This window comes from Homo sapiens, chromosome 9, assembly GCF_000001405.40.
Source record: "Homo sapiens chromosome 9, GRCh38.p14 Primary Assembly".
Lineage (NCBI taxonomy): Eukaryota > Metazoa > Chordata > Mammalia > Primates > Hominidae > Homo > Homo sapiens.
In genome coordinates this window covers 32,991,358-33,014,548 of record NC_000009.12, presented here as the reverse complement: position 1 = coordinate 33,014,548, position 23,191 = coordinate 32,991,358, and the positions used below count along the sequence as shown (strand labels likewise).

Here is a 23,191-nt window from a genome sequence, read left to right as displayed (position 1 = left end):
TTTTGTTAAGGATGTCCTGCTGCTCCCCAGCTATGCATCCTTTTGTTAAGGATGTCCTGCTGCTCCCCAGCTATGCATCCTTTTGTTAAGCTGTTAAGTGGTACAGCTATGGAATATTTATTCTACTGTTGGGTTAAACTGCCATTTTCTACCACCTACCATGATTTCTAATAAACTGCCCTTTAGATATTTTTGTGTTAAATTTCCCACATCTCCAAATATGGGAGTGAGGCCAGGGGTGTTTGTTCATACACACTTGCTGGTGGTGGTAGTGGTGGTTCATCAAGAAAGTCCTGTACTTACCAGACTGAGAGGTCAGTCCTCAGGTAACCTTATGAGTGCTATTGGCTTAGACTCCTACATCCAGGTTGTCCCTCAGAGCAGAGGCAGGGCTGGTAATGGTGCCAGAGTAGGCCTTTGCCATCAGTTTCTGTGCTGAGCATTGGGAAGACCTAGGCACAAGCCACAGTGGTATCAGCATTAAAAGGGACTCTGCACTGAATTAGCAGCTACTGACTAGGGTCTCTTTACACTCCTGTTGGGATATTGCAGTTGGGTTGAGTGCATAGGTTGGAGTTCAGTTACTTTTAGCTGCCAGATTTACAGCCCTAGGGGTGAGGCCTGATGTAAAAGTCTTTCTTCCTGGTGGTTGCCCCCACCTGTCATTTCTTTCATCTCCCTGTTATCATTGACATTGAAAAGGCATTTTAGAGCAGGAGCTTGGTCTTGTTTTTGTTTTGTTTTTTAGACGGAGTCTTGCACCGTCGCCCAGGCTGGAGTGCAGTGGCGCAATCTCGGCTCACTGCAAGCTCCGCCTCCCGGGTTCACACCATTCTGTCTCAGCCTCCTGAGTAGCTGTGACTACAGGCACCTGCCACCATGCCCGGCTAATTTTTTTGTATTTTTAGTAGAGATGGGGTTTCACCGTGTTAGCCAGGATGGTCTCGATCTCCTGACCTTGTGATCTGCCCGCCTTGGCCTCCCAAAGTGCTGGGATTACAGGCATGAGCCACCACGCCTGGCTCTCCATGAGCAGCTTCCTACCTGCCTAGTCATGATGTTGTCTTCATCGTGAAGAAGTTGTGATGAAGATAACTGTTCATCTGCTGTGTAACTTTACCTTTTTCTTTTTTTCAACAGCAATGGCACTGTCAGATCTAGGACAGGAAACTGGGAAAGGCATTGTAGTGGCTAACAATACAAATTCTGGAAACTGAATCCTGGCCCCGCCACAAACAAGTTACTTATTTTTTCTGTGCCTCAATTTCCTTGTCTGTAAAAGTGGATAATAATAGTATCTAGCTCATAGAGTTATTGTGAAGAGTAAATGAGTTAACATGTACAAGGTGTGCAGAAGAGTATCCACATATAAATAAACACTAGTAAATGTTTGCTAATAGTAATGGTCATAGAAATTATCCTATTCAAACAGAGGAAATAGTAGAGCTAGTAAATCAACATTACATTGATTTACTAAAATATTGATTGAGTACCTACTATATGTCAGGGTGTTTTCTAGGTCAGTAAAACAATGTTGACTGTGACAGACACAATCCCTTTTCTCATGGAGCTTACGAATGAGTGGGGCACAGACATTAACATTTACACAAGTATATAAGGCAACTCTTCTATTAGGAAGTTGAGCCTTGACCCAGATTTCAGACAATCTTATGACTTCCAGAACGTGGTAGGAATAGTGCCCCCACCCTTTTTCTAAAAGGGAGTGTTCTGGTTATCTAATGCTGTTTAGCAAGCTGCCCTCAAAATTGGTGACTTAAGGTAGCAATCATTTATTTAATCAGAATTCCGCAGTTGGGGCAGGGCTTAGCAGGGATAGTGCATCTCTGTTCTGTGTAGCAACTGCTAGGGTGGCTTCCCTAGGGCTGGAGGACCCACTTCCAAGCTGGGTCACTCATATACTGGCTGTTACTGGCTGGGAGCTCTGCTGGGACCTCTCCTTCATGTGGCTAAGTTGGGCTTCTTACAGCATGGCAGCTGGATCCTTTGAACAGGAGCACCCCCAGAGGATAGGCCACAATGTGTAAGCAGTTATTAAGGTTCTGCTTGTATTGTACTTGGTAGTGTCCCATTGGCAAAAGCCAGTCACTCAGCCAAGTCCAGTCAATGTGGAAGGGGACTATGGAAGGGTAGGAATTCTGAAAGGGGAGAATCAATTAGGTCTACTAAAGTAATTGGCTACCACAGAGAGAAAGGCTAAGTATACATTTTCTAAAAAATTTTGCGTTCTTTTTTTTTCTTTAATCATGTATGCTATATCCTCTCTCTCTAAAATATCCAAGAAGTCATACAGGTGAAAAGTAAGGTCTCTTGTGAATCAAAGCCCTTTGGAGGGTGGTTAAAATTTTTGTTACAGGCCTCATAATTTAGGAGCAATATTATTCTATGAAAGCAGAAGTTTTACTGTGGTTAAACGTATGGTGAAGACAGTTGTTGAAATAGTATTATTTTCACATAGACAGCTGGAGCTTTGCTTGTGAAAAGAATGACAAAGTAGGAGTGTCTCGGGGTTGTCTGAATGGTGTAAATGTGTAGACATTCAAATTTGTTGTCAAGAGGGACCAAACCATGCTCAGGAAAATGCCACTGGACGTCCAGTCTGAAGTGCAGTAAGAAAGACAAGTGGGAGAAAGAGCAGCAATGCAATATTGGAAAGACTAGCAGTAAGGAGACTGCAGGTTCAGGAGAGTGGGCTCAGCACTGAGGCTGTGAAAGGTGAGCGTGTCCTGCAGCTGTCCTCAGTAGACTGAAAGCTCCTTAAGGGGAAGGGCTGTGTCTGGCTTGTTGACTCAACATGGACCCCACTGCGTGACACAGAGAAGGCACTCTTAAGTGTTTGATGAATGGATACATTTAAAGAAACGCAGAATTGGAAACCATTCCCTCTCTTTAAGATTCTGGTGCCATAAAATAATTAGAGTAACCTTTTAAAAAATATGGCACTTCGGGCGGGCGCGGTGGCTCATGCCTGTAATCCCAGCACTTTGGGAGGCCGAGGCGGGTGGATCACAAGGTCAGGAGTTCGAGACCAGCCTGGCCAAGATGGTGAAACCCCGTCTCTACTAAAAATAAAAAATTAGCCGGGCGTGGTGGCAGGCGCCTGTAATCCCAGCTACTCGGGAGGCTGAGGCAGGAGAATTCCTTGAACCTGGGAGGCGGAGGTTGCAGTGAGCCAAGATCGTGCCACTGCACTCTAGCCTGGGTGACAGAGCAAGACTCCATCTCAAAACAAAAAAAAAAAATATGGTGCTCCACTGATTAAAATCCTTTAATGGTTTCTCATTTCACCCAGATATCCACATGACTTTTTTCTTCTTTCAGGTCTGTGCTCAAGAGAGGCCTCCCACACTACCAAGACATCCTCACCACTTTTTTTTTTCTTTTTTTTGAGACGGAGTCTCACTCTGTCACGCAGGCTGTAGTGCAGTGGCACGATCTCAGCTCACTACAACCTCTGCCTCTCAGGTTCAAGCAATTTTCATGCCTCAGCTTCCCAAGTAACTGGGATTACAGGCGTGCACCACCACGCTCTGTTAATTTTTGTACTTTTTAGTAAAGATGGGGTTTCACTATGTTGGCCAGGCTGGTCTCAAACTCCTGAGCTCAGGCAATCCACCTGCCTTGGCCTCCCAACGTGTTGGGATTACAGGCGTTAGTCACCACGCCCGGCCATCCTCACCACTTTCTATATCCCACTTGTTTTTTCTTTATAGCATTTATCCTCACATGACCTGTATCTTTCTTTTCTTATGATCTGCCTCACCCATTTAGACTGTAAGATCCTTGAAAGCAGGAACTTTTTTTTTTTTTTGGAACGAGGTTTCACTCTTGTTGCCCAGGCTGGAGTGCAATGGCATGATCTTGGCTCACTGCAACCTCTGCCTCCCGGGTTCAAGCGATTCTCCTGCCTCAGCCTCCTGAGTAGCTGGGGTTACAGGCGCCTGCCACCAGCCTGGCTAATTTTTGTATATTTAGTAGGGACGGGGTTTCACCATGTTGACCAGGCTGGTCTTGAACTTCTGACCTCAAGTGATCCACCCGCCTCAGCCTCCCAAAGTGCTGGGATTACAGGTGTGAGCCACCACGCCTGGCGAACGCAGGAACTTTGTTTTGTTCACTGTGGTAGCCCCAGCTCCTAGAGTGATTCCTGACATGTAGAAGTTGCTCAGAGTTGAATGAATGAATGAATGCGCCAGCCAATGGAGAGCTAGAGTTGCTTTGGTTTCATCTGACTGGAGGCCAAGACCCTGAGACTGTGGGATGTGGGTATCCGTGTGGGCTCCTATAGCCATGTCTCTCCCAGTTGACTAGTAAGAGGAGCTGGTCTGACGGTGCCAAGAGCCCAGGCCCTCCTGTTCTGGGAACTACTATTGCCTGTCTGTGATTGTGAGATTGAGGGCCCAGATACCGTAAGGTTCTTATGGTTTGGAGATGGTGCAGAAGGCAGCCCCATCAGTCTTTAAAGTAGCCAGAGAAGTTTTCTAAGTTTCAACCCAGGACTCTTGACTGAATGGGTTCAAGAAATTGAAGGAAAGGCCCTGTGTTTGGGCAAATAGGCGAGGAGAGAGTGGTAGATGAGATTAGAGAGATGGACAAGAACTTCTGTAAAACTGACCAAACAAGGGAGTTTATTCTTAATTTGATGAGCATTGGTAAAGGATTTAAGCAGGGGAATGACATGATCAGGTTTGTTTGTGTTTTGAATTTTTTTTCCCTTTTCTTTTCTTTATTATTATTTTTTTTAGAGACAGAGTATCGCCCTGTTACCTGGGCTGGAGGGCTGGAGTGCAGTGGCATAATCATGGTTTACTGCAGCCTTGGACTTCTGGGCTCAAGCAGTCCTCTTTCCTCAGTCTCTCAAGTAGCTGGGATCACGGGCACATACCACCGTGCCCGGCTAAGTTATTTATTTTTTATAGAGAGAGGGTCTCACTTTGTTGCCCAGCCTGGTCTCAAACTTCTGGTCTCAAGCAGTCTTCCTGCCTCGGCCTCCTAAAATGCTGGGATTACAGGCATGTGAAATATTTTCTCTAGTTGCAGTGTGATTGGATTGGAGGGGACAAGAGTGAATTAGGGAGAAAAGAAAGAATAACATTCCAGAAAGAATAGCACGAACATCAAGGAACTCAATATACTGATGTATTGGGGTGGGGGAAAGGGTAGGAAGTTCAATATTGCTGGTACAAGGCTGGGACTAAAGAGGTGGTGGAAGGCAAGGCAGGTTAAGTAAGTTAGAAGGCATTCCTGTGCCTTTCTTCTTAATGTTTATAAGAAATTTCAGGATAGACCACTATAAGATCTGTGATTTACACAGATCAGCATTGCTGAATTGAAATAAAATTTTCCACAAACCACCAATGATATGAATGTCAGTGCTTGGGATTACAGTAATCATCTCCTAAACTCTTAAAAATTAGATCCTTGAAAGAGTTAAGAGTTAATAAGATTCAAGAAATCAGCACATAGTGGGAGAAGTTAACCAGTCCTAAAAGCAGGAGTTGAAAATAATAGAGGGTAAATTATAGTTGGAAGATTTTAAAGTGAATTTACAGGGTGTAGTTTTTATGAATACCTCATCATGTTTACACTGTAATGTATAGAACAGAACTGCTCAACTGGTGTCCCAATTACAGGTATGATTACCAAGAATTTGAAAAGATTATCATTAAAAAATCAATCAGGCCAACGCGGTGGCGCACGTCTGTAATCCCAGCACTTTGGGAGGTAGAGGCGGGTGGGTCACCTGAGGTCAGGAGTTCGATACCAGCCTTGCCAACATGGCAAAACCCCATCTCTACTAAAAATACAAAAATTAGCCGGGCATGGTGGCACATGCCTGTAATCCCAGCTACTGGGGAGGCTGAGGCAGGAGAATTGCTTGAACCAGGGAGGTGGAGGTTGCAGTGAGCCAAGATCGTGCCACTGCACTCCAGCCTGGGTGACAGAGTGAGACTCCATCTCAAAAAAAAAAAAAAAAAATCTTAATCAGAAGCTGTGTGTGGTGGTTCACACCTGTAATTCCAGCACTTTGGGAGGCCGAGTTTGGAGGACTGCTTGAGGCCAACAGTTTGAGACCAGCCTGGGTAACACAGTGAGACCCTGTCTCTAATTTAAAAAAAAAATCTTAGTCAGAAATTGTATAGCTATTTTATCATGAAACCTTAATATCATAAAGGTTATATTTACAGAAATATGCTCAATTTCCTCATCAAAAAAAATCTAAAAATATTTTACTTGGATATGTAGCCAAAATCAATGTTATTTTCCCCAATACTTTGTTGTTTATTTATATTATTATATATAATTATAAAGAAAAAATAAGGAAATTTTTTTCACCAAGCTCCTCATAGGCCTCCCCTCAGATTTACCCCCATGTGTTCTGCAAATATTAGAATTTTATCTTTGTGCCATGACATAACGAAGTTGGGAAGCAGTAGGAGGTTAACTTATCTAAAAAGTAAATAAAATGATACTAGAAAATAGGAGGAGTGCATTAGGTTGGATTCCCCCAGAGCAGACAGTGTCACAAGGATTTGGAATGCTGGTACTTTGGAGATGATCTCAAGAATTACCAGCAGGGGAGTGAAGAAGTGAGACAGGGATGGGAAGGAAACCAGCAGAGGACGGGTTGATAGGCAGAGTACCCCTCTGGGCAGCCTGGGCTCAGTCTTGGTGGGGAGCGTTGGGGAGACAGTGTAGTACACACATCAAAGTTGTTTCACCCTAGGGGTGAGAAAACATGTTTACCTACTTTTTTTTTTTAATATCGTTTTCATTACACTTAGTAGCATAAATCCCCTCACTTTAGACCTGTATATGGTCAGAGAAGGCAATGTCGCAGTTCTTGCAGTAAGAAGTTTTTGGATATATGAAACATGCAGCTAAATTTATGTTTCGCTAGATTTTCATTCTATCACCACTAAATAACTTTTATGATTTGGCATCAGACCTAGGACTGCCTATAGAAAAGAGTATGTTTTGTCTTGTCCAGTTGATGCTGCCCCCAAATATCCCTTGAGTCAGTGAACTTCTGTCCCTTCGTTCAGGCTGCCAACGTCCTTTGCACTGCATCAGTAAACTGCTAACTGCTTTCCACTTTTCTGCTTTTGCCTTCCCCACTAGTCCATTCTTGCTCACAGCAGCCACAATGACCTTCATAAAATGAACATCAAATATGTCACTTCCTAACTAACTCTTCAGGGGTTTTTCAATGAATGATGAATCCACATACAGTTCTTAAATGGTTTACTATTGTCCTTGCTCAGGCCTCCTTATCTTCCTTTCACTAACTCCATTGGATTTTCACCTCCACTGGACTTCTAGCAACTCTAAAAGAATAATCTAAAAGCCCTGCTATTGGGCCTTTGTACATGCTCTTTCCTCAGTTTGGATCACAGACCTAGAATATTTTTCCATCAAGTCTTCATGTGTTTGTTTCCTTTCTGTCTTTCTGGACTCAGTCTAATTGTCCTTTCCTCAGATAGGCCTTTCTTTCTTTCTTTCTTTCTTTTTTTTTTTTTTTTTTTTTTTTGAGACAGAGTCTTGCTCTGTCGCCCAGGCTAGAGTGTAGTGGCGCAATCTAGGCTTACTGCAAGCTCCGCCTCCTGGGTTCACACCTTTCTCCTGCCTCAGCCTCCCAAGTAGCTGGGACTACAGGCACCCGCCACCTTGCCCGGCTAATTTTTTGTATTTTTAGTAGAGACGGGGTTTCACCATGTTAGCCAGGATGGTCTCGATCTCCTGACCTCGTGATTCGCCTGCCTCGGCCTCCCAAAGTGTTGGGATTACAGGTGTGAGCCACCGCACCCGGCCAGATAGGTCTTTCTTGACGCCCTCACAACCCTCTCCCTCTCTACTGTTTCTCTGGAGAACTCTGACTAATACAGCTTTCCCCAAATGCCAAAACAAAATGAGGTGTCCCAGCTATACTCTCTCTCAGAATTTCATATTTTTCCTTCTGAGCAAGTCTCTGGACCAGGCAACCACAGCCTCTGGCTTCACCTGCTTTTCCCTTAGATCAGGTAGGTACTCTGCCTCCAACTGCTTTTCCCTTAGAGCAGGAGTCTCAAAATCTTAAAGAAAGAAGGGCTTTCAGGGGGCCAGACAGGTTATATAAGTGAGTGGGTGGAAACAGTGGCAAACTGGAGAGCACATGGCAGCTATTCACAATTCTAGCTATTTGTTGTTAGACTTGGCTAGATTTATTGATTTTTCCCCCAAGAGATCAGGAATCCTGATTTTTAAAAAAAATTCTTTTTATTAAAATTTTTTTTATAGAGAGAGGGTCTTGCTATGTTGGCTGGGCTGATCTTGAACTCCTGGCCTCAAGCAATCCTCCTGACTCATCTTCCCAAATGCTGGGATTACACACATGAGCCACTGAGCCCAGCCAGAATCCAGGTTTTCATGTGAGATCTCATTTCTAACTGTTGGAATTAAAACAAACAAACAAACAAACAAACAACAAAACCCTGAGCAGAGTAGCCAAAAACAATCTTGAAAAAAAAAAGAATAAAGTTCTTATACTTCCTGATTTCAAAAAGTATTACAAAGCTATAGTAATCAAAACAGTGCAGTACTAGTGTAAAGACAGACATACAGACTGATGGAATACAATAGAAATCCCAGAAGTAAATCCTTGCATAAATGATTAAATGATATTCAGTAAGTATGTCAATACCATTCAGTGAGGAAAGGGCAGTCTTTTCAACAAATGATATTGTTAAAATCTGGGTATCCACATGCAAAAAATTGAAGTTGGAGCCTTACCTTACATAGTACAGAAAATGAACTCAAGGCCAGGCACAGTGTCTCACACCTGTAATGTCAGCACTTTGGGAGGCTGAGGCAGGAGGATTGCTTGAGCCCAGGAGTTCAAGATCAGCCTGGGCAACATAGCAAGACCTCTGTCTCTATTAAAAAAAAAATTAGCCAGGCTTGGTGGGACATGCTTGTAGTCCCAGCTACTTGGGAGGCTGAGGTGGGAGGATTGTTTGAGTCTGGGTGGTCAAGGCTGCAGTAAGCTGTGATTGCATCACTGCACTCCAGCCTGGGCAACAGAGCAAGACTCTGTCTCACAAAAACAAAAACAAAAACAAAAAACAAAAAAATAAAACCACACCTCAAAAATGGATCAAAGACCTAAACATAAGACCTAAAACTATAAAACTCTTAGAAAACATAAGGGAAAAGTTTCATGACAGATTTGGCAATGTTTTCTTGGATATAACACCAAAAGACAGGCAGCAAAAGTAAAAATAGGTAAATTAAAGTACTTCACAATTAAGTTTTGTGCATCCAGGGATACAGCCAGCAAGCAGAGTGAAAAGCACCCTATGAAATGGGAATCTTATATTTGATCAGAGGTCAATATCCAGAATATATAAAGAACTCCTACAACAAAACAAAACAAAAATAACCCCATTAAAAAATGAAGTACTTGAATAGACATTTCTCCAAATACATACAAATAGACAGGAAGCTTATGAAAAGATCAACATCACTAATCATTAGGGAAATACAAAGCAAAACCACAATGAGATACCATTTCACACCCATTAGGATGGCTGCTATCAAAAAAAAGTAACAAGCGGCCGGGCGCAGTGGCTCACACCTGTAATCCCAGCACTTTGGGAGGCCGAGGTGGGTGGATCACAAGGTCAGGAGTTTGAGATCAGCCTGGCCAATATGGTGAAACCCCATCTCTTCTAAAAAAAAAAAAAATACAAAAATTACCCGGGTGTGGTGGCAGGCACCTGTAGTCCCAGCTACTCAGGAGGCTGAGGCAGGAGAATCGCCTTAAGCCGCGAGGTGGAGGTTGCAGGGAGCCGAGATTGCACCACTGCACTCCAGCCTGGGTGACAGAGCGAGACTCCATCTCAAAAAAAAAAAAAAAAAAAAGGGTTGGCAAGAATGTGGAGAAATTGGAACTCTTGTACACTATTGGTAGAAATGTAAAATCATCCAGCTGCTATGGAAAACAGTGTGACAGTTCCTCAAAATATTAAAAATGGAATTACCATATAATCCAGCAGTTTCACTTCTGTGTATATATTCAAAATAATTGAAAGAAGAATTTTTAAAAATTGTTTCACATTAAAAACAAATTTCAGTGGCTTTAGGGGTACAAATGGTTTTTGGTTTCATGGATGAAGTGTATAATGGTGAAGTCTGAAATTTTAGTGTACCTATCACCCGAGTAATAGTTACACCCAATATGTAGTTTTTTAAAATCTCTCATCTTCCTCCCACTCTCTCCACTTCTGAATCTCCAATGAACATTATACCACTCTGTATGCCTTTACATACCCAAAGCTTAGCTGCCAATTATAAGTGAGAACATGTGGTATTTGGTTTTCCATTCCTGAGTTACTTCACTTAGAAAAATGGCCTCCAGTTCCATTCAAGTTGCTTCAAAAGACATTATTTCATTCTTCTTTATGGCTGAGTAGTATTCTGTGGTGTATATGTACGACATTTTCTTTATGCATTCATCAGTTCATGGGCATTTAGGTTGGTTCCATGTTCTTGCAATTGCAAATTGTGAAAACAGGATCTCAAAGAGATATTTATACACTCATGTTCATAGCAGCATTATTCACAATAGCCAAATGGTGGAATATCCACGGGTGGATGAATGGATAAAGTATGGTGTGTACATGCAATGGAGTGTTATTCAGCTTTAAAAAGGAACTTTTTACACATGATACAATGTGGATGAAACTTGAGGACATTATATTAAGTGAAATAAGCCAGTCGCAAATGGGCAAATACTGTCTGATTTTACTTACATGAGGTACCTAGAGTGGTCAGACTCATGAAAACTGTAAGTAGAATGGTGGTTGCCAGGTGGGGGAGGGAAAATAGGGAGCTATTTAATCGATACGGAGTTTTTTTTTTGAGGCAGAGTCTTGCTCTATCGCCCAGGCTGGAGTGCAGTGGAGTGATCTTGGCTCACTGCAACCTCTACCTCCCGGGTTCAAGCAATTCTTCTGCTTCAGCCTCCCAAGTAGCTGGGACTACAGGCGAGTTCCGCCACGCCAGGCTGGTCTTGAACTCCTGACCTCAGGTAATCCACCTGCGTTGGCCTCCCAAAGTGCTGGGATTACAGGTGTGAGCCACCGTGCCTGGCCGAGTTTCAGTTTTTCAAGATGAAAAAGTTCTGGTGATTAGCATGGCAATATGAAGTGCCTGAAAGTCTTCACTGCCTGCCATACCTTTAGCTATACATTGTGCCATGTGATCTTGCTTTTCTGGCCACTAATACACTATAGACAATGGACTAGGCCTAACAAGCAGGACGTGGAAACTCTGCCCAATTTTGCACATTATATAGTGAATGATGTAATTAGAATGATCCAATCCAACTTTTGGATGCAAGACACACAAAGGCAGGTCAAAGAAGCACCCTTAACCGAGAGGGATGCTTAATTGAGGGAACAACAAAACTGGTCAGGTCACCAGAGTTGCCTCTTTTTATCTTGGGCAGTTGTGAACAACATTCCTCAGCTGTAAGGCCTGTGTGGCTGCTGAGATGCTGCTTGTGTTTTCCCACTTCCTTATATGACCCTAATATAAACCTGCATCTTCTCTGCTAACAAAAGCAAGCCTGTCCTCTGTGTTTCTTGGAAGATCCTCCCACCTTCTGTCTTGAAGGCTCTGATAGCTTCATCATACCATTAAGTCTCTGCTTTTCCATGGAAGGAAACAATACTCCACCTTGATGAAGAATGTGACTCCTTAAATCTCAATTTTGTTAAAGAAAAGATTATTCAATGATACTTGCTGAAGCATGGTAAGGAAGACTTTATTCAGGAACTTCATGATAGGTATATAGAGCTCACTGCAACGGGGTTTTGCAGTGGAAGAGAGATTAGGCTCAACTCCAAACAGCAGCATGGGCAAGTGGGCATTTATGGCCAAGGAGCTGTGTAGGGGTCAGTGGATGGAAAATTACTAAGAGGAAACATCGGGGTAAAGGAGTTTCTGGCTAAATATACCTAACAGGATTCTTGCTGGAGACAGGCCAAGGTAATCAGACATCATCTGGGGGATAGTGGAGAATAAGGAACCTGATCAGATATTGAGAATAACCACATAAGGCGGGGTGGTGGTGGTGGTTCTTGGTAAACTGACTTAGCCAGGGTCTGTGCTAAAACTGGATTTTACAGGGAAGTGCACAGATGGGCCTAGCAGAAAATTCAGAAACCTAATTCAACCAAAGAATTTTTGCCAGTGTGTTGTACTTGAGAAAAATTATAAACTATACTTTTACCTCCGAGATAGGGATTGTTCCTTCTGCCAAAATGCCTTTGAATAACTGCAATATGATTCTTAGGGAACTTTCTGGAATTGCTGTAAAAAATCAGTACACGCATCTTATCCCTGCATCTTGCTTTTTTTCTCCCGGATTGCCCCTCAGTTCATTTAGTGTACACAGCACTACAAAAAACAGGTTTCCCTGCCTCTTACCGCTCCATTCTTTCCTCCCTGCACAAAGGAGAAAGCGGACTGTAGTTTAAAAAGCAAGTAGCAGTGCTACAGCAGGTTGTCTGCAGCAGGAGAGATGGCCTTAAAGGTTGTGAACGTCTCCTTATGGAGTATCGAGAAGCTGCACAGCCACCTAGAAACGTCCACAGAGGGATTGGGTCTGAAATGTCACCCAATTCAGAGACTGTGAGGCAGTGACAGGCGAGTGGCCCTCAGGCAGAGAGATGCTGAGAGAGCTGGTCCCCACAGGCATAACTTCCAGGATCCTCAGTTGGACCACGGCCCAGAGAGAACCCAATTGGGGCGGACGCTTTTTGATCTGGGAAGTGGGCAAGATTCTTTCAGCCAATCCGTTAGAGAGGTGCTGGTGACGTCACTGGTCGCGATACAGCCGGCCTCTGACGTCATCCCGCAGCGCCGGAAGCGGTGAGGCACAGATGAGTAACGTGAATTTGTCCGTCTCCGACTTCTGGAGGTAAGGCGGTCGTCAGCCTATCTCTTCTGCTGGCTGGGCTCAATGCCGCGGGTGAGCGTTCGGCCGAGGCTGCTCCTACCCTTGAGTGATGTGCCTTGAATGACGCTGCTTTCATGCGCTGCTCTCACGGCTGCTTTCTCCGTCCTCCCCTGTTACTACCTTGGGCTGTTTCAGCGGGCGCTCGCGTTGGTCTTCGACCCACTTTGCGTTTGTTCACGTGTGCTCCCGACACCTGTATGTACCTTGGTCGCAACACAAGCCGAAAAAATATTAGAGAATGGGCCCTGTCCAACCAAGGAGGCGGCCCAGCTTGTCGGGAAGGGCAGCGTTTCCGCCAGAAATGCTTCGTGAAAGGCACTTGAGGGACCTTAGCAGCATCCTCAACAGGCCTTGTAGGGAATGCCAGAAGAAGCAGTCCTTGGCCGGGCGGGGTGGCTCATGCCTGTAATCCCAGCACTTTGGGAGGCCGAGGCGGGCGGATCACCTGAGGTCGGGAGTTCCAGACCAGCCTGACCGACATGGAGAAACCCCGTCTCTACTAAAAATACAAAACTAGCCAGGTGTGGTGGCGCATGCCTGTAATCCCAGCTACTCGGGAGGGTGAGGCAGGAGACGTTCTTGAACCCGGGAGGCGGAGTTTGTGGTGAGCTGAGATCGCGCCATTGCACTCCAGCCTGGGCATGCCAAGAGCGAAACTCCGTCTCAAAAAAAAAAAAAAAAAGAAAAAAAAAAAAAGCCTTTCCCCATACATACCAGTGATAGTGGCTTAACAAAGCAGGGATAAAATTTCTATTTGGAATTGCTGTGATCTAGGTTTGGAACTTTTGGGGATTGTTCATATGTGAGACAATACAGATTTGTGCTCGTTCTTCTTAGTTACACAGTTATTACTTTCTTTTTTTCTTTTTCTTTTCTTTTCTTTTTTTTTTTTTTTTTTTTTTGAGACAGAGTCTCACTCTGTTACCCAGGCTGGAGAGCAACGGCGTGATCTCGCCTCACTGCAACCTCCGTCTCCCGGGTTCAAGCTATCTCTGCCTCAGCCTCCCAAGGAGCTGGGATTACAGGCGTGTGCCACGACGCCTGGCTAATTTTTTGTATTTTTAGTAGAGATGGGGTTTCACCATGTTGGCCAGGCTGGTCTCAAACTCCTGACCTCAGGTGATTCGCCCCCCTCGGCCTCCCAAAGTGTTGGGATTACAGGCGTGAGCCACTGTGCCCAGCCGCAGTTATTGCTTTCAAATGATCTTTTTATATGTCCACAGCTCCTGCTTGCCCTACCTTCGCTATTAACAAGAGTGATAATAGTGTTGAATGCTTTTTATCAGACACTGAGCTTTACATACTTTGTCCTTTAGCTCTTGTGACAACCCCATGGTGTAGAGCAATTGTTAATACCGCTTGACACTTGAGGGAATGAAGGCTTGGAGAGGTTAAATAACTTGCCTCAAGTCACACAGCGAGTAGGTGGTAGAACCAATGTTTGAATTCAGGCAGTCCAACTTCAGAGACCTTGATCTTCGCCACTGTTCTATATTGTTTTTCTTCGACTGTCCATTAAGCTCCCAGACACCTACTCTTTGTTACCTTTTATTTTTATTTTTATATTTTTTTGAGACGGAGTCTCTGTCGCCCAGGCTGGAGTGCAGTGGCGCGATCTCGGCTCACTGCAAGCTCCGCCTCCCGGGTTCACGCCATTCTCCTGGCTCAGGACTACAGGCGTCTACCACCACGCCCGGCTAATTTTTTGTATTTTTTAGTAGAGACGGGGTTTCACCGTGTTAGCCAGGATGGTCTTGATCTCCTGACCTCGTAATCTGCCTGCCTCGGCCTCCCAAAGTGCTGGGATTACAGGCGTGAGCCACCGCACCCGGCCTGTTTGTTACCTTTTATTTTATGGAGAAAATTAGGGTCATGAGATGTGCTTTCCCTCACATTTCTGCCTCTGCTTTCCCTTTTAAAGTCATCAAGATTTATACCCTTTTCCTTTTGTCTCAGAGGATGAATTGTCTCTCTAATCAGAGCAGTTTCTTTATGTTTGCTTCTGATATTTTATGCTGTCACTTATGAGACCTTGTTTTCATTTGTCATTTCTGTTTCCAGTCGTGTATAAACAAGGCCAGGTTTCTCAGATCTCTGACACTTCCCGTTGCCGAAGAAAGAAAAACTCCTTGGTGGTCCATTATAACTTTAGCTGTCATCCAATAACTTTCTTTCTCTTTATATCCAAACTGTTTTAGTGAGTATTCTGAACTCTGCCTCCATTTCCTCACCTTTTGTTTCCTTCTGTATCTAGCTCTCAGACCCATCATTCCCCTGAAATTTCACCCCAAGGTCACCAGTGACTATTGTCAAACCAGATAAAAATTTTTTGATTATTACTGGATCTCTTTGCTGCTTTTGGAACTTGGTCATCCCTTTACTCCCTTCTTCTTTGCTTTACGTGTCAGTGCTCTCAGATGATTTATTCAACAAGTATTGATTGGGATACAGAGATGAACAAGACAGATAAATTGTTTTCTCTTAAGGAATTTACATTCTAGCTGTTCTCCATGTGCCTTTCTTACCAGTCATTTCTGCTATGGGTAGTCATTTTCCTCCTTCCCTAAAATGTTGGGTGTTTCTGTTGTTTGTGACTTTGGCATATAAACAATGAAAAACTGTTCTTTTTTTTTTTTTAGCTTGACCAATTTTTTTTTTATACTTTAAGTTCTGGGATACATGTGCAGAACGTGCATGTTTGTTACATAGGTGTATACTAAGTGCCATAGTGGTTTGCTGCACCCATCAACCTGTCATCTACATTAGGTATTTCTCCTAATGCTATCCCTCCCCTAGCCCCTCACCCCCTGACACGCCCCAGTGTGTGATGTTCCCCTCCCTCTGCCCATGTGTTCTCATTGTTCAACTCCCACTTATGAGTGAGAACATGTGGTGTTTGGTTTTCTGTTCCTGTGTTAGTTTGCTGAGAATGATGGTTTCCAGCTTCATCCATGTCCCTGCAAAGGACATGAACTCATTCTTTTTTATGGCTGTATAATATTCCATGGTATATATGTGCCACATTTTCTTTATCCAGTCTATCATTGATGGGCATTTGGGTTGGTTCCAACTCTTTGCTATTGTTAATAGTGCTGCAATAAACATACATGTGGATGTGAAGCTTGACCAGTTTTTATAAAATGATTATACCTATGTGACCACCATCCAGATTAGGTTACAGATACATAATATTACCAGCATTCAGAATGAAAACTGTTCTTTTCATTCTGTACACATTGCCTGAGTGAACCCATCAGCTGGCTTGGTTTTAACTACCTCCTACATGCCCCCAAATTGAAATTGTCAGCTTAGACCTCTCTGAGCTTTACCCTCACATCTGACTATCCTCCTGGACAGCTCTGCCTGCAAGTCCCACAGACACTTCAAATTCAGATGACTGAAACTGAACTCAGTGTCTTTCCTGGACTTAACTCTTATCACATTCATCACTAAGTCCTGATAGTTTTACCCCCTAAACATCTCTCAAATCTGTGCAGTCTTCTCCATCTCTACTGTTGTCCTTTTACCTGCAATATCATGGCCTTCTAACTGATTTCCCTGCTTCTAGGCCTGTTCCCCCATATCTTTTCTTCACATTACTCCCCTCCACCCCCAGATGGTCTTTGGAAACAAGTCTGTATCAAATTCCTGCTTAATCTTTAAAGATCTGTCCATGCATTCATCCATTCTTTTCTCTAATTCATTCAGCAAACATTCATTGTCTACTGGCTTGCAAAATCCATTGAAAGTTCTAAAGTTTGAGCTTCTCAGCCAGGGCTCTGCCTGTTCTGAACCCTGCCTGTATCTCCAGCCTCTTCTCTGCCTCATGCTTTAGGTTCCAGCAACACTGAATGGCATCTTCATGGGTACTGTGCTATTTCTTCTTTGTGTACTTGCCCTTGTTCTCTTTGCTTGGAATCTTCTCCCTGTTTCCTTTCTCCACCTCCTGCTCCTCACCTAATTAGGCTGCTCCTTTTCACCTAATTAACCCAGTTTATAAATGGGACTCAGTTATAAAGTTTAGGTCCACCTCCTCCAGGAAATTTTTTCCTGACACCTCCTTCCTCCCAATCTCGGTTGGGTACTCTAGCATTGTGCTTCCACCCTTTGCACAGAGCAATCATCATGTTTACCACATCTACTATTAACATAATTGTTTGTGTTTTTCTCCTCCACAAGATTTATTTTTTTTAGATGAGGTGTTGCTGTGTTGCCCAAGCTGGACTTGAACCCCTAGGCTCAAGCAATCCTTCCACCTCAGTCTCCCAAGTAGCAGGGACTACAGGTACGTGCCACCATGCCTGGCTAAGGCTGAGTTTTTTGAAGGCTGGGCTCATATATTATCTCTTTATTCCCAGTACTAGAATGGCACAAGATACACAGGAGTGTAGTAATTTTGACTGAACGATCAAATGAGTGAAGCCAAAAGTTATATGATGCAGTGGTTAAGAACCCATTCTTTGGAATTCAAATTGTAGTTCTGGCACATATTGGCTATGTGACTTGAACATGTTACTTATCTTCTCATCCTGAATTTTCTCTTCTCAGAATGGAGTTGTGAGTGTTAAAATGAGACCATGTAAGTAAGACATTTAGCATAGTGCCTAGCACATAGTATGCACTTGATAAAGGTGCTGAAAACCGGGGGATCCTGGAGTAAAGACTAGGCCTGGCCCAGGACAGTGATCTCCCGAAACCCCTCCTCATTGTTTTGTGAATGCGTAGGCAGTGATGCAGTCTGTTAGCAGGGAGATTATAATCTTGTTTGGAAAGTAGAATTACATCCACATTAAACAGTCAGAGAACTGTGAAGGTAGTTTGACCACATCCAATAATAAGATGTAGAGAAGAGAAGACAGCTCAATGAAGGCTTTAGGGAGGAGGTGAGGCTTGAAAGTTAAATAGGATTTGGGTTTTAGGAGAAAGGAATACCAGGAGACCATATTAAGAATGACTTAGGCCAGGTGTGGCTCCTACCTGTAATCCGTGCACTTTGGGAGGTCAAGACAGGAGGATTGCTTGAGGCCAGGAGTTTCAGACCAGTGTAGGCAACATAGTGAGAACCCCATCTCAAAATAAAATAAATTAGCAAGGCATGGTGGTGTGTGTCTGTAGTCCCAGCTACTCCAGAGGCTGAGGCTGGAGGACCACTTTAGCCCAAGGAAGTTGAGGCTGCAGTGAGCTGTGATGACGCCCTGCACCCAATCTGGGCAACAGAGTGAGACCCTGTCTCAGAAAAAAAAAAAAAAGAGCGATTTATTTGGGAGATGCTGTTCAGTATATTATACTTGAAGGGTATACATACAGGCATACCTCAGAGACGTGGGTTTGGTTCTAGACAACTGCAATAAAGTGAACATATGCATGTTTTGGTTTCTTAGTGCATATAAAAGTTATGTTTATACTATACTGTAGTCTGTTAAGTGTGCAATAGCATTATGGCTGAACAAACAATGTACACACCTTAATTAAAAGTACTTTGCTAAAAATTGCTAATAGTCACCTGAGCCTTCAGTGAGTTGTGATCTTTTTGCTGATGTAGGGGGGGTCTTGCCTTGACGTTGGTGGCTGCTGACTGATCAGGGTCATAGTTGCTGAAGGTTTGGATGTCTGTGGCAATTTCTTTTTTTTTTTTTTTTTGAGACGGAGACTCGCTCTGTCGCCCAGGCTGGAGTGCAGTGGCGCGATCTCGGTTCACTGCAAGCTCCGCCTCCCGGATTCACACCATTCTCCTGCCTCAGTCTCCAGAGTAGCTGGGACTACAGGTGCCCGCCACCACGCCCGGCTAATTTTTTTGTATTTTTAGTAGAGACTGGGTTTCACCGTGTTAGCCAGGATGGTCTCGATCTCCTGACCTCGTGATCCGCCCGCCTTGGCCTCCCAAAGTGCTGGGATTACAGGTGTGAGCCATAACACCCAGCCCTTTGTTGGCGTTTTGGTAATGTTCATTACATCTTCATCAGGAATAGATTTCATCTCAAGAGACCGTTTTCTTTGCACATCCATAAGAAGCAACTCCTCATCCATTAAAGTATGATCATGAGATTGCAGCATTTCAGTCACATCTTCAGGTTCTACTTATAATTTTAGTTCTCTTTATTTCTGCTATATTGGGAGTGACTTCCTCCATTGAAGTCTTGAACCCCTGAAAGTCATCCATAAGGGTTGGAATCAACTTTTTCCAAACTCCTGTTTATGTTAATATTTTGACCTCCTCCCATAAATTACAGATGTTCTTAAGGGCATCTAGAATGGTTGTATCCTTTTCAGAAGGTTTTCAATTTACTTTTTCCAGGTCCATCAGAAGAATCACAGTTGATAGCAGCTATACCCTTATGAAATGTATTTCTTAATTAATAACACTTGAAAGTCAGAATTACTCCTTGATCCATGGGCTGCAGAATGGATGTTGTTTTATCAAGCACGAAAACAATATTTATCTCCCTGTATAATATATCTCCATCAGGGATCTTGGGTGCATTGTCAATGAGCAGTAATATTTTGAAAGGAATCTTTTTTTTATGAGCAGTAGTTCTTAACAGAGATCTTAAAATATTCAGTCAGTCATGCTGTCGTCCAGGCTTTGTTGTTCCATTTATAGAGCACAGGCAGAGTGGACTGAGTATAATTCTTAAGGGCCTTAGGATTTCTGAAATGGTAAATGAGCGTTGGCTTCAGTTTAAAGTCTCCATCTGCATTAGTCCCTAACAAGACAGCCTGTCCTTGAAGCTTTGAAGTCAGGCATTGACTTCTCTCTACCTGTGAAAGTCCTAGATGGCATTTTCTTCCAGTAGCATCAAAGATCAAAGATCACTGATCACAGATCATTGTAACAGATATAATAATAACGAAAAAGTTTGAAATATTGTGAGAATTACTAAAATGTGACACAGAGACCTGAAGTGAGCACATGCTGTTGGAAAAATGGCACTGAAAGACTTGCTTGACACAGATTTGCCACAAACTGTCAATTTGTAAAAAATGCAATATCTTTCAAATGTAATAGAGCAGAGCACAAAGCAGGTATGCCAGTATGTATGTGTTTCTTGGGGAAGAGAGGAGAGAGAGGGATGGGCAAGTGGGACTAGTTCTGTGAAGAGGAACGGGAGGTGAAATACATAAGCACTGTGGAGTTACAGTATGATGAGCTTAACTTCAGGCCTGAGGGACTTGAGATGGATCAGGGCAGGGCAAGTTTCCAGGACTGTGGTGGATATTATGGTAGCCCCCCAGCCACGTGGAGTTATTTAACTATTAAGTAAAAAATGTAGTTTCTCTGTTGTACTAGCTACATTTTAGATGCTCGATTGTCACGTGGTGGGTAATTTATTGGACAGTTCAGGTTTAGAACATTTCCGTCATTGCAGAAAATTCTATTGGACAGCACTATTTGAGGTTACCTGATTTCTGGCCTTGTGTGGTCTATCAGATCACTTGAGTTCTTTAAGGAATAATCAGAATTTCTTTCTGACGGATCCCCTCAACTCTAGAATGAAAGATATAGAGCTGGGCCGGGCGCGGTGGCTCACGCCTGTAATCCCAGCACTTTGGGAGGCCGAGGTGGGCGGATCGCCTGACATCAGGAGTTCGAGACCAGCCTGGCCAACATGGTGAAACCCCGTCTCTATTAAAAATACAAAAAGTAGTCAGGTGTGGTAATGCACCCCTGTAATCCCAGCTGCTCAGGAGGCTGAGGCAGGAGAATTGCTTGAACCCATGAGGTGGAGTTTGCAGTGAGCTGAGATTGCGCCACTGCATTCCAGCCTGGGCAACAGCAAAACTCTGTCTCAAAAAAAAAAAAAAAAAAAGATATAGAGGTGAAAAATAGAGAATTGGGATTTATCCACCTAGATGTGAGAATGGATGGGATTGCCCAAAGAGAGGAACAGAGCATTCCATCGTAAGAAGAGCCATAGAAGGAAGGGAGAGAGAAGGCAGGAAAGAAAACTGGGATAATTATTACTCTCATGCAGAGAGTAAATAGCATTTGATAATTCACTTGTAAATATTTATTGTATGCCCGCTGTATGCCAAGTGTTAGATTAGGTGCTACAGATATATTGATAAGCGAAAATGGACATGACCTCTATTGTCATAGTTTTCAGTTTATGGAGTTTTACTGGAGGGACTGGGTTGAAGATTCAGGAACACCCATCCTTCTGCACTTGCCATATTGTAAAACACTCCATTTCTAAAAGTTGGAATTGGAGGCTGAAACGGGTGAAGTTACTATTTAAGGTTGGTTACATAACTGTTGTGCAGTCACTACTTCAGCTTCTCAGGAAGTAGTAAAAAGGAACACCATAACTTGAGAACTTTGGGGGAATAAAGTATCTGTATTGATGGAGGGCAGAAAGGGTAGTTCTTATTATCCTGCATCTGCCAGCCATGCTCTCTGCTGCTCACTGGATTCCTCTCTTGCCCTGCTCTCAAAATCTGTTCTCTTCTGGCTTCTCTTATTGTCAGTATGAGTAGTCAGTCACCACATATTTCCCAATGCCTAGTGAAGACATATTTCACTTCTCAGTCTGTTACCTGCTCATTCATCTGTTTCCAGCAAGTGCAAACAGATGCCCCTTGGAACGCATAGCATTTAAAAGTGGGACCTGCCCATAACACCATCATCATTTGAGGCTCCAGGTTTAGGATTTTAGATTTATAGCTGACTCTTCGTGCACCTGCATCAGCTCCTTCACAGAGACTTGCTGAACTGCCTTTTTGACCTCTCTGGCTCACGTTATATTAACAGCCTCCTCACTAATCTCTGACTCTGGATTTCTCCATGCTAGACTGCCTACACACAGCTGTTAAGTGTTCTTTGGATGCTGTTGTTTTATCTTACTGTGAAGCTCAAAACCTGGCAGTTGTCTCCTCTTGATTATGGTAAATGTAAACTTTTCAGCCTAGTATTCTTTCAACACCTCTGTCTTTTTTTGTGACTCTCCGAGGCAGCTCCTCTGGTTCAGCCAACTAAGTCTGCTTTTACCCCGACCTATGGCTTGCCATTGCCGAAATCTGTGTTGTCACTTGTGCTTTTTAAAATGGAATGGCCCCTCCCACTCCATTTCTTCTTTATCAGTCCCCTTGGCTCCTAGCCATCTCTAACCAGGAGGTTTCTGGAAGCCTGTACTGGCTAATACAGGACTTTTTACCTCCTTAGTACTCATATACTCGCACTAATCTTATTCATTTGAATTTGCATCTCCTCAGCTGTCATTTGCTCACTTTGCCTTGCATTGTCTTGTCTTTGCAGATGGTAATGAAACTGATTTTTAAAAATCGGGTTTCTTTTTTCTTTGCTTATGGACATGAAACTTGTGCAGAGGGCATATGTGCTGCCTTGACTATAGGCAGGTTTCCGGGAGAGGCATGTTAGAGGCTTGAGCACTGATAAGAGTCTGGAGTCTAGAGAGGCAATCTCTCTCTGCCCATAATTCCCTGTTTCACCTCATTGGGTGATCTCATCCTCTCTCTCTTTGCCTCAGCCTCTGTGACATGTTGATGCCTCTCAAATATATGCATTTAGTCCATTCCCCTCTCTTGAGCTTCATACCCACATATCACAGCTTGAGTCTTGGATCTTCCACAGGCAACTTAAAATAATTACATTTCAATATGAAATTGGTCCTTCTCTCTTCACTTTCCTTTTTATCCCCAAATTATGTCTCCTTGTGTATTTTTCATTTTTGTTAATGGGCATCTTCCAAATTTGAAGTCTTTGGTGAGTGTCTCGCCTTTTTTTTTTTTTCTTGAGATGGAGCCTTGCCCTATCGCCCAGGCTGGAATACAATGGTGCGATCTCTGCTCACTGCAACCTCCGCCTCCTGGGTTCAAGCAATTTTCCTGCCTCAGCCTCCCGAGTAGGTGGGAGGCACCTGCCACCACACCTGGCTAATTTTTGTATTTTTAGTAGAGATAGGGTTTTACCACGTTGGCTAGGCTGGTCACAAACTCCTGACCTCGTGATCCGCCTGCCTTGGGCTCCCAAAGTGCTGGGATTACAGGCCTGAGACACCGCACCTGGCCAGTGTGTCCTTTTATTCCTTTGTCATTCCCCAAATGTCATCAGTAATTAAGTATGTCTTCCAGATTTCTCCTGGCTCTTCTTGCTCTCCATCCCCTTTGCTTCGGCCATTGTTGAGGTCTCATCTCTCTTCTGAATTTCTTGTC

At 43.5% G+C, this 23,191-nt stretch overlaps 1 protein-coding gene and 1 long non-coding RNA gene across 37 annotated transcripts in view, besides 5 other annotated features; one reads left to right on the top strand and one right to left on the bottom strand.

Moving 5' to 3' along the window:
* APTX (aprataxin) overlaps nucleotides 1-23,191 on the top strand; it is a 52,505-nt gene that overhangs the window by 10,572 nt on the left and 18,742 nt on the right. For 11 of the 36 annotated variants that reach the window (NR_160930.1, NR_036577.2, NR_160920.1 and 8 more), the window contains exon 1: nucleotides 12,921-12,982. The exons of 16 other annotated variants lie outside the window; for them this stretch is intronic. The gene's annotated coding sequence lies outside the window, so the exon portion shown is untranslated. Of the gene's footprint in view, nucleotides 1-12,920; nucleotides 13,217-17,200; nucleotides 17,307-23,191 lie in introns of those variants that run through there. 9 more of the 36 variants (NM_001369005.1, NM_175073.3, NM_001195251.2 and 6 more) reach the window with 3 other exon arrangements.
* Nucleotides 11,804-12,772, bottom strand: LOC124902140 (uncharacterized). The gene is made up of 2 exons (XR_007061454.1): nucleotides 12,490-12,772; nucleotides 11,804-12,372 (listed from the first exon to the last, which is right to left on the bottom strand). It is a non-coding gene; the product is annotated as an uncharacterized LOC124902140 (long non-coding RNA).
* Nucleotides 12,723-12,992: an enhancer, noted in NCBI's record as "active region_28267". NCBI's record gives its function as "activates an Ori minimal core promoter by ATAC-STARR-seq in GM12878 lymphoblastoid cells {active_cell/tissue: GM12878}" and the evidence as "EXISTENCE:reporter gene assay evidence [ECO:0000049][PMID:35858748]".
* Nucleotides 12,723-13,364: a biological region, named in NCBI's record as "NANOG-H3K27ac-H3K4me1 hESC enhancer GRCh37_chr9:33001183-33001795".
* Nucleotides 12,752-13,364: an enhancer, noted in NCBI's record as "NANOG-H3K27ac-H3K4me1 hESC enhancer chr9:33001183-33001795 (GRCh37/hg19 assembly coordinates)". NCBI's record gives its function as "activates a minimal SCP1, AML or CMV promoter by ChIP-STARR-seq in naive H9 embryonic stem cells {active_cell/tissue: H9 hESC(naive)}" and the evidence as "EXISTENCE:reporter gene assay evidence [ECO:0000049][PMID:30033119]".
* Nucleotides 13,365-13,976: an enhancer, noted in NCBI's record as "NANOG-H3K27ac-H3K4me1 hESC enhancer chr9:33000571-33001182 (GRCh37/hg19 assembly coordinates)". NCBI's record gives its function as "activates a minimal SCP1, AML or CMV promoter by ChIP-STARR-seq in naive H9 embryonic stem cells {active_cell/tissue: H9 hESC(naive)}" and the evidence as "EXISTENCE:reporter gene assay evidence [ECO:0000049][PMID:30033119]".
* Nucleotides 13,463-13,522: a silencer, noted in NCBI's record as "silent region_19828". NCBI's record gives its function as "represses an Ori minimal core promoter by ATAC-STARR-seq in GM12878 lymphoblastoid cells {active_cell/tissue: GM12878}" and the evidence as "EXISTENCE:reporter gene assay evidence [ECO:0000049][PMID:35858748]".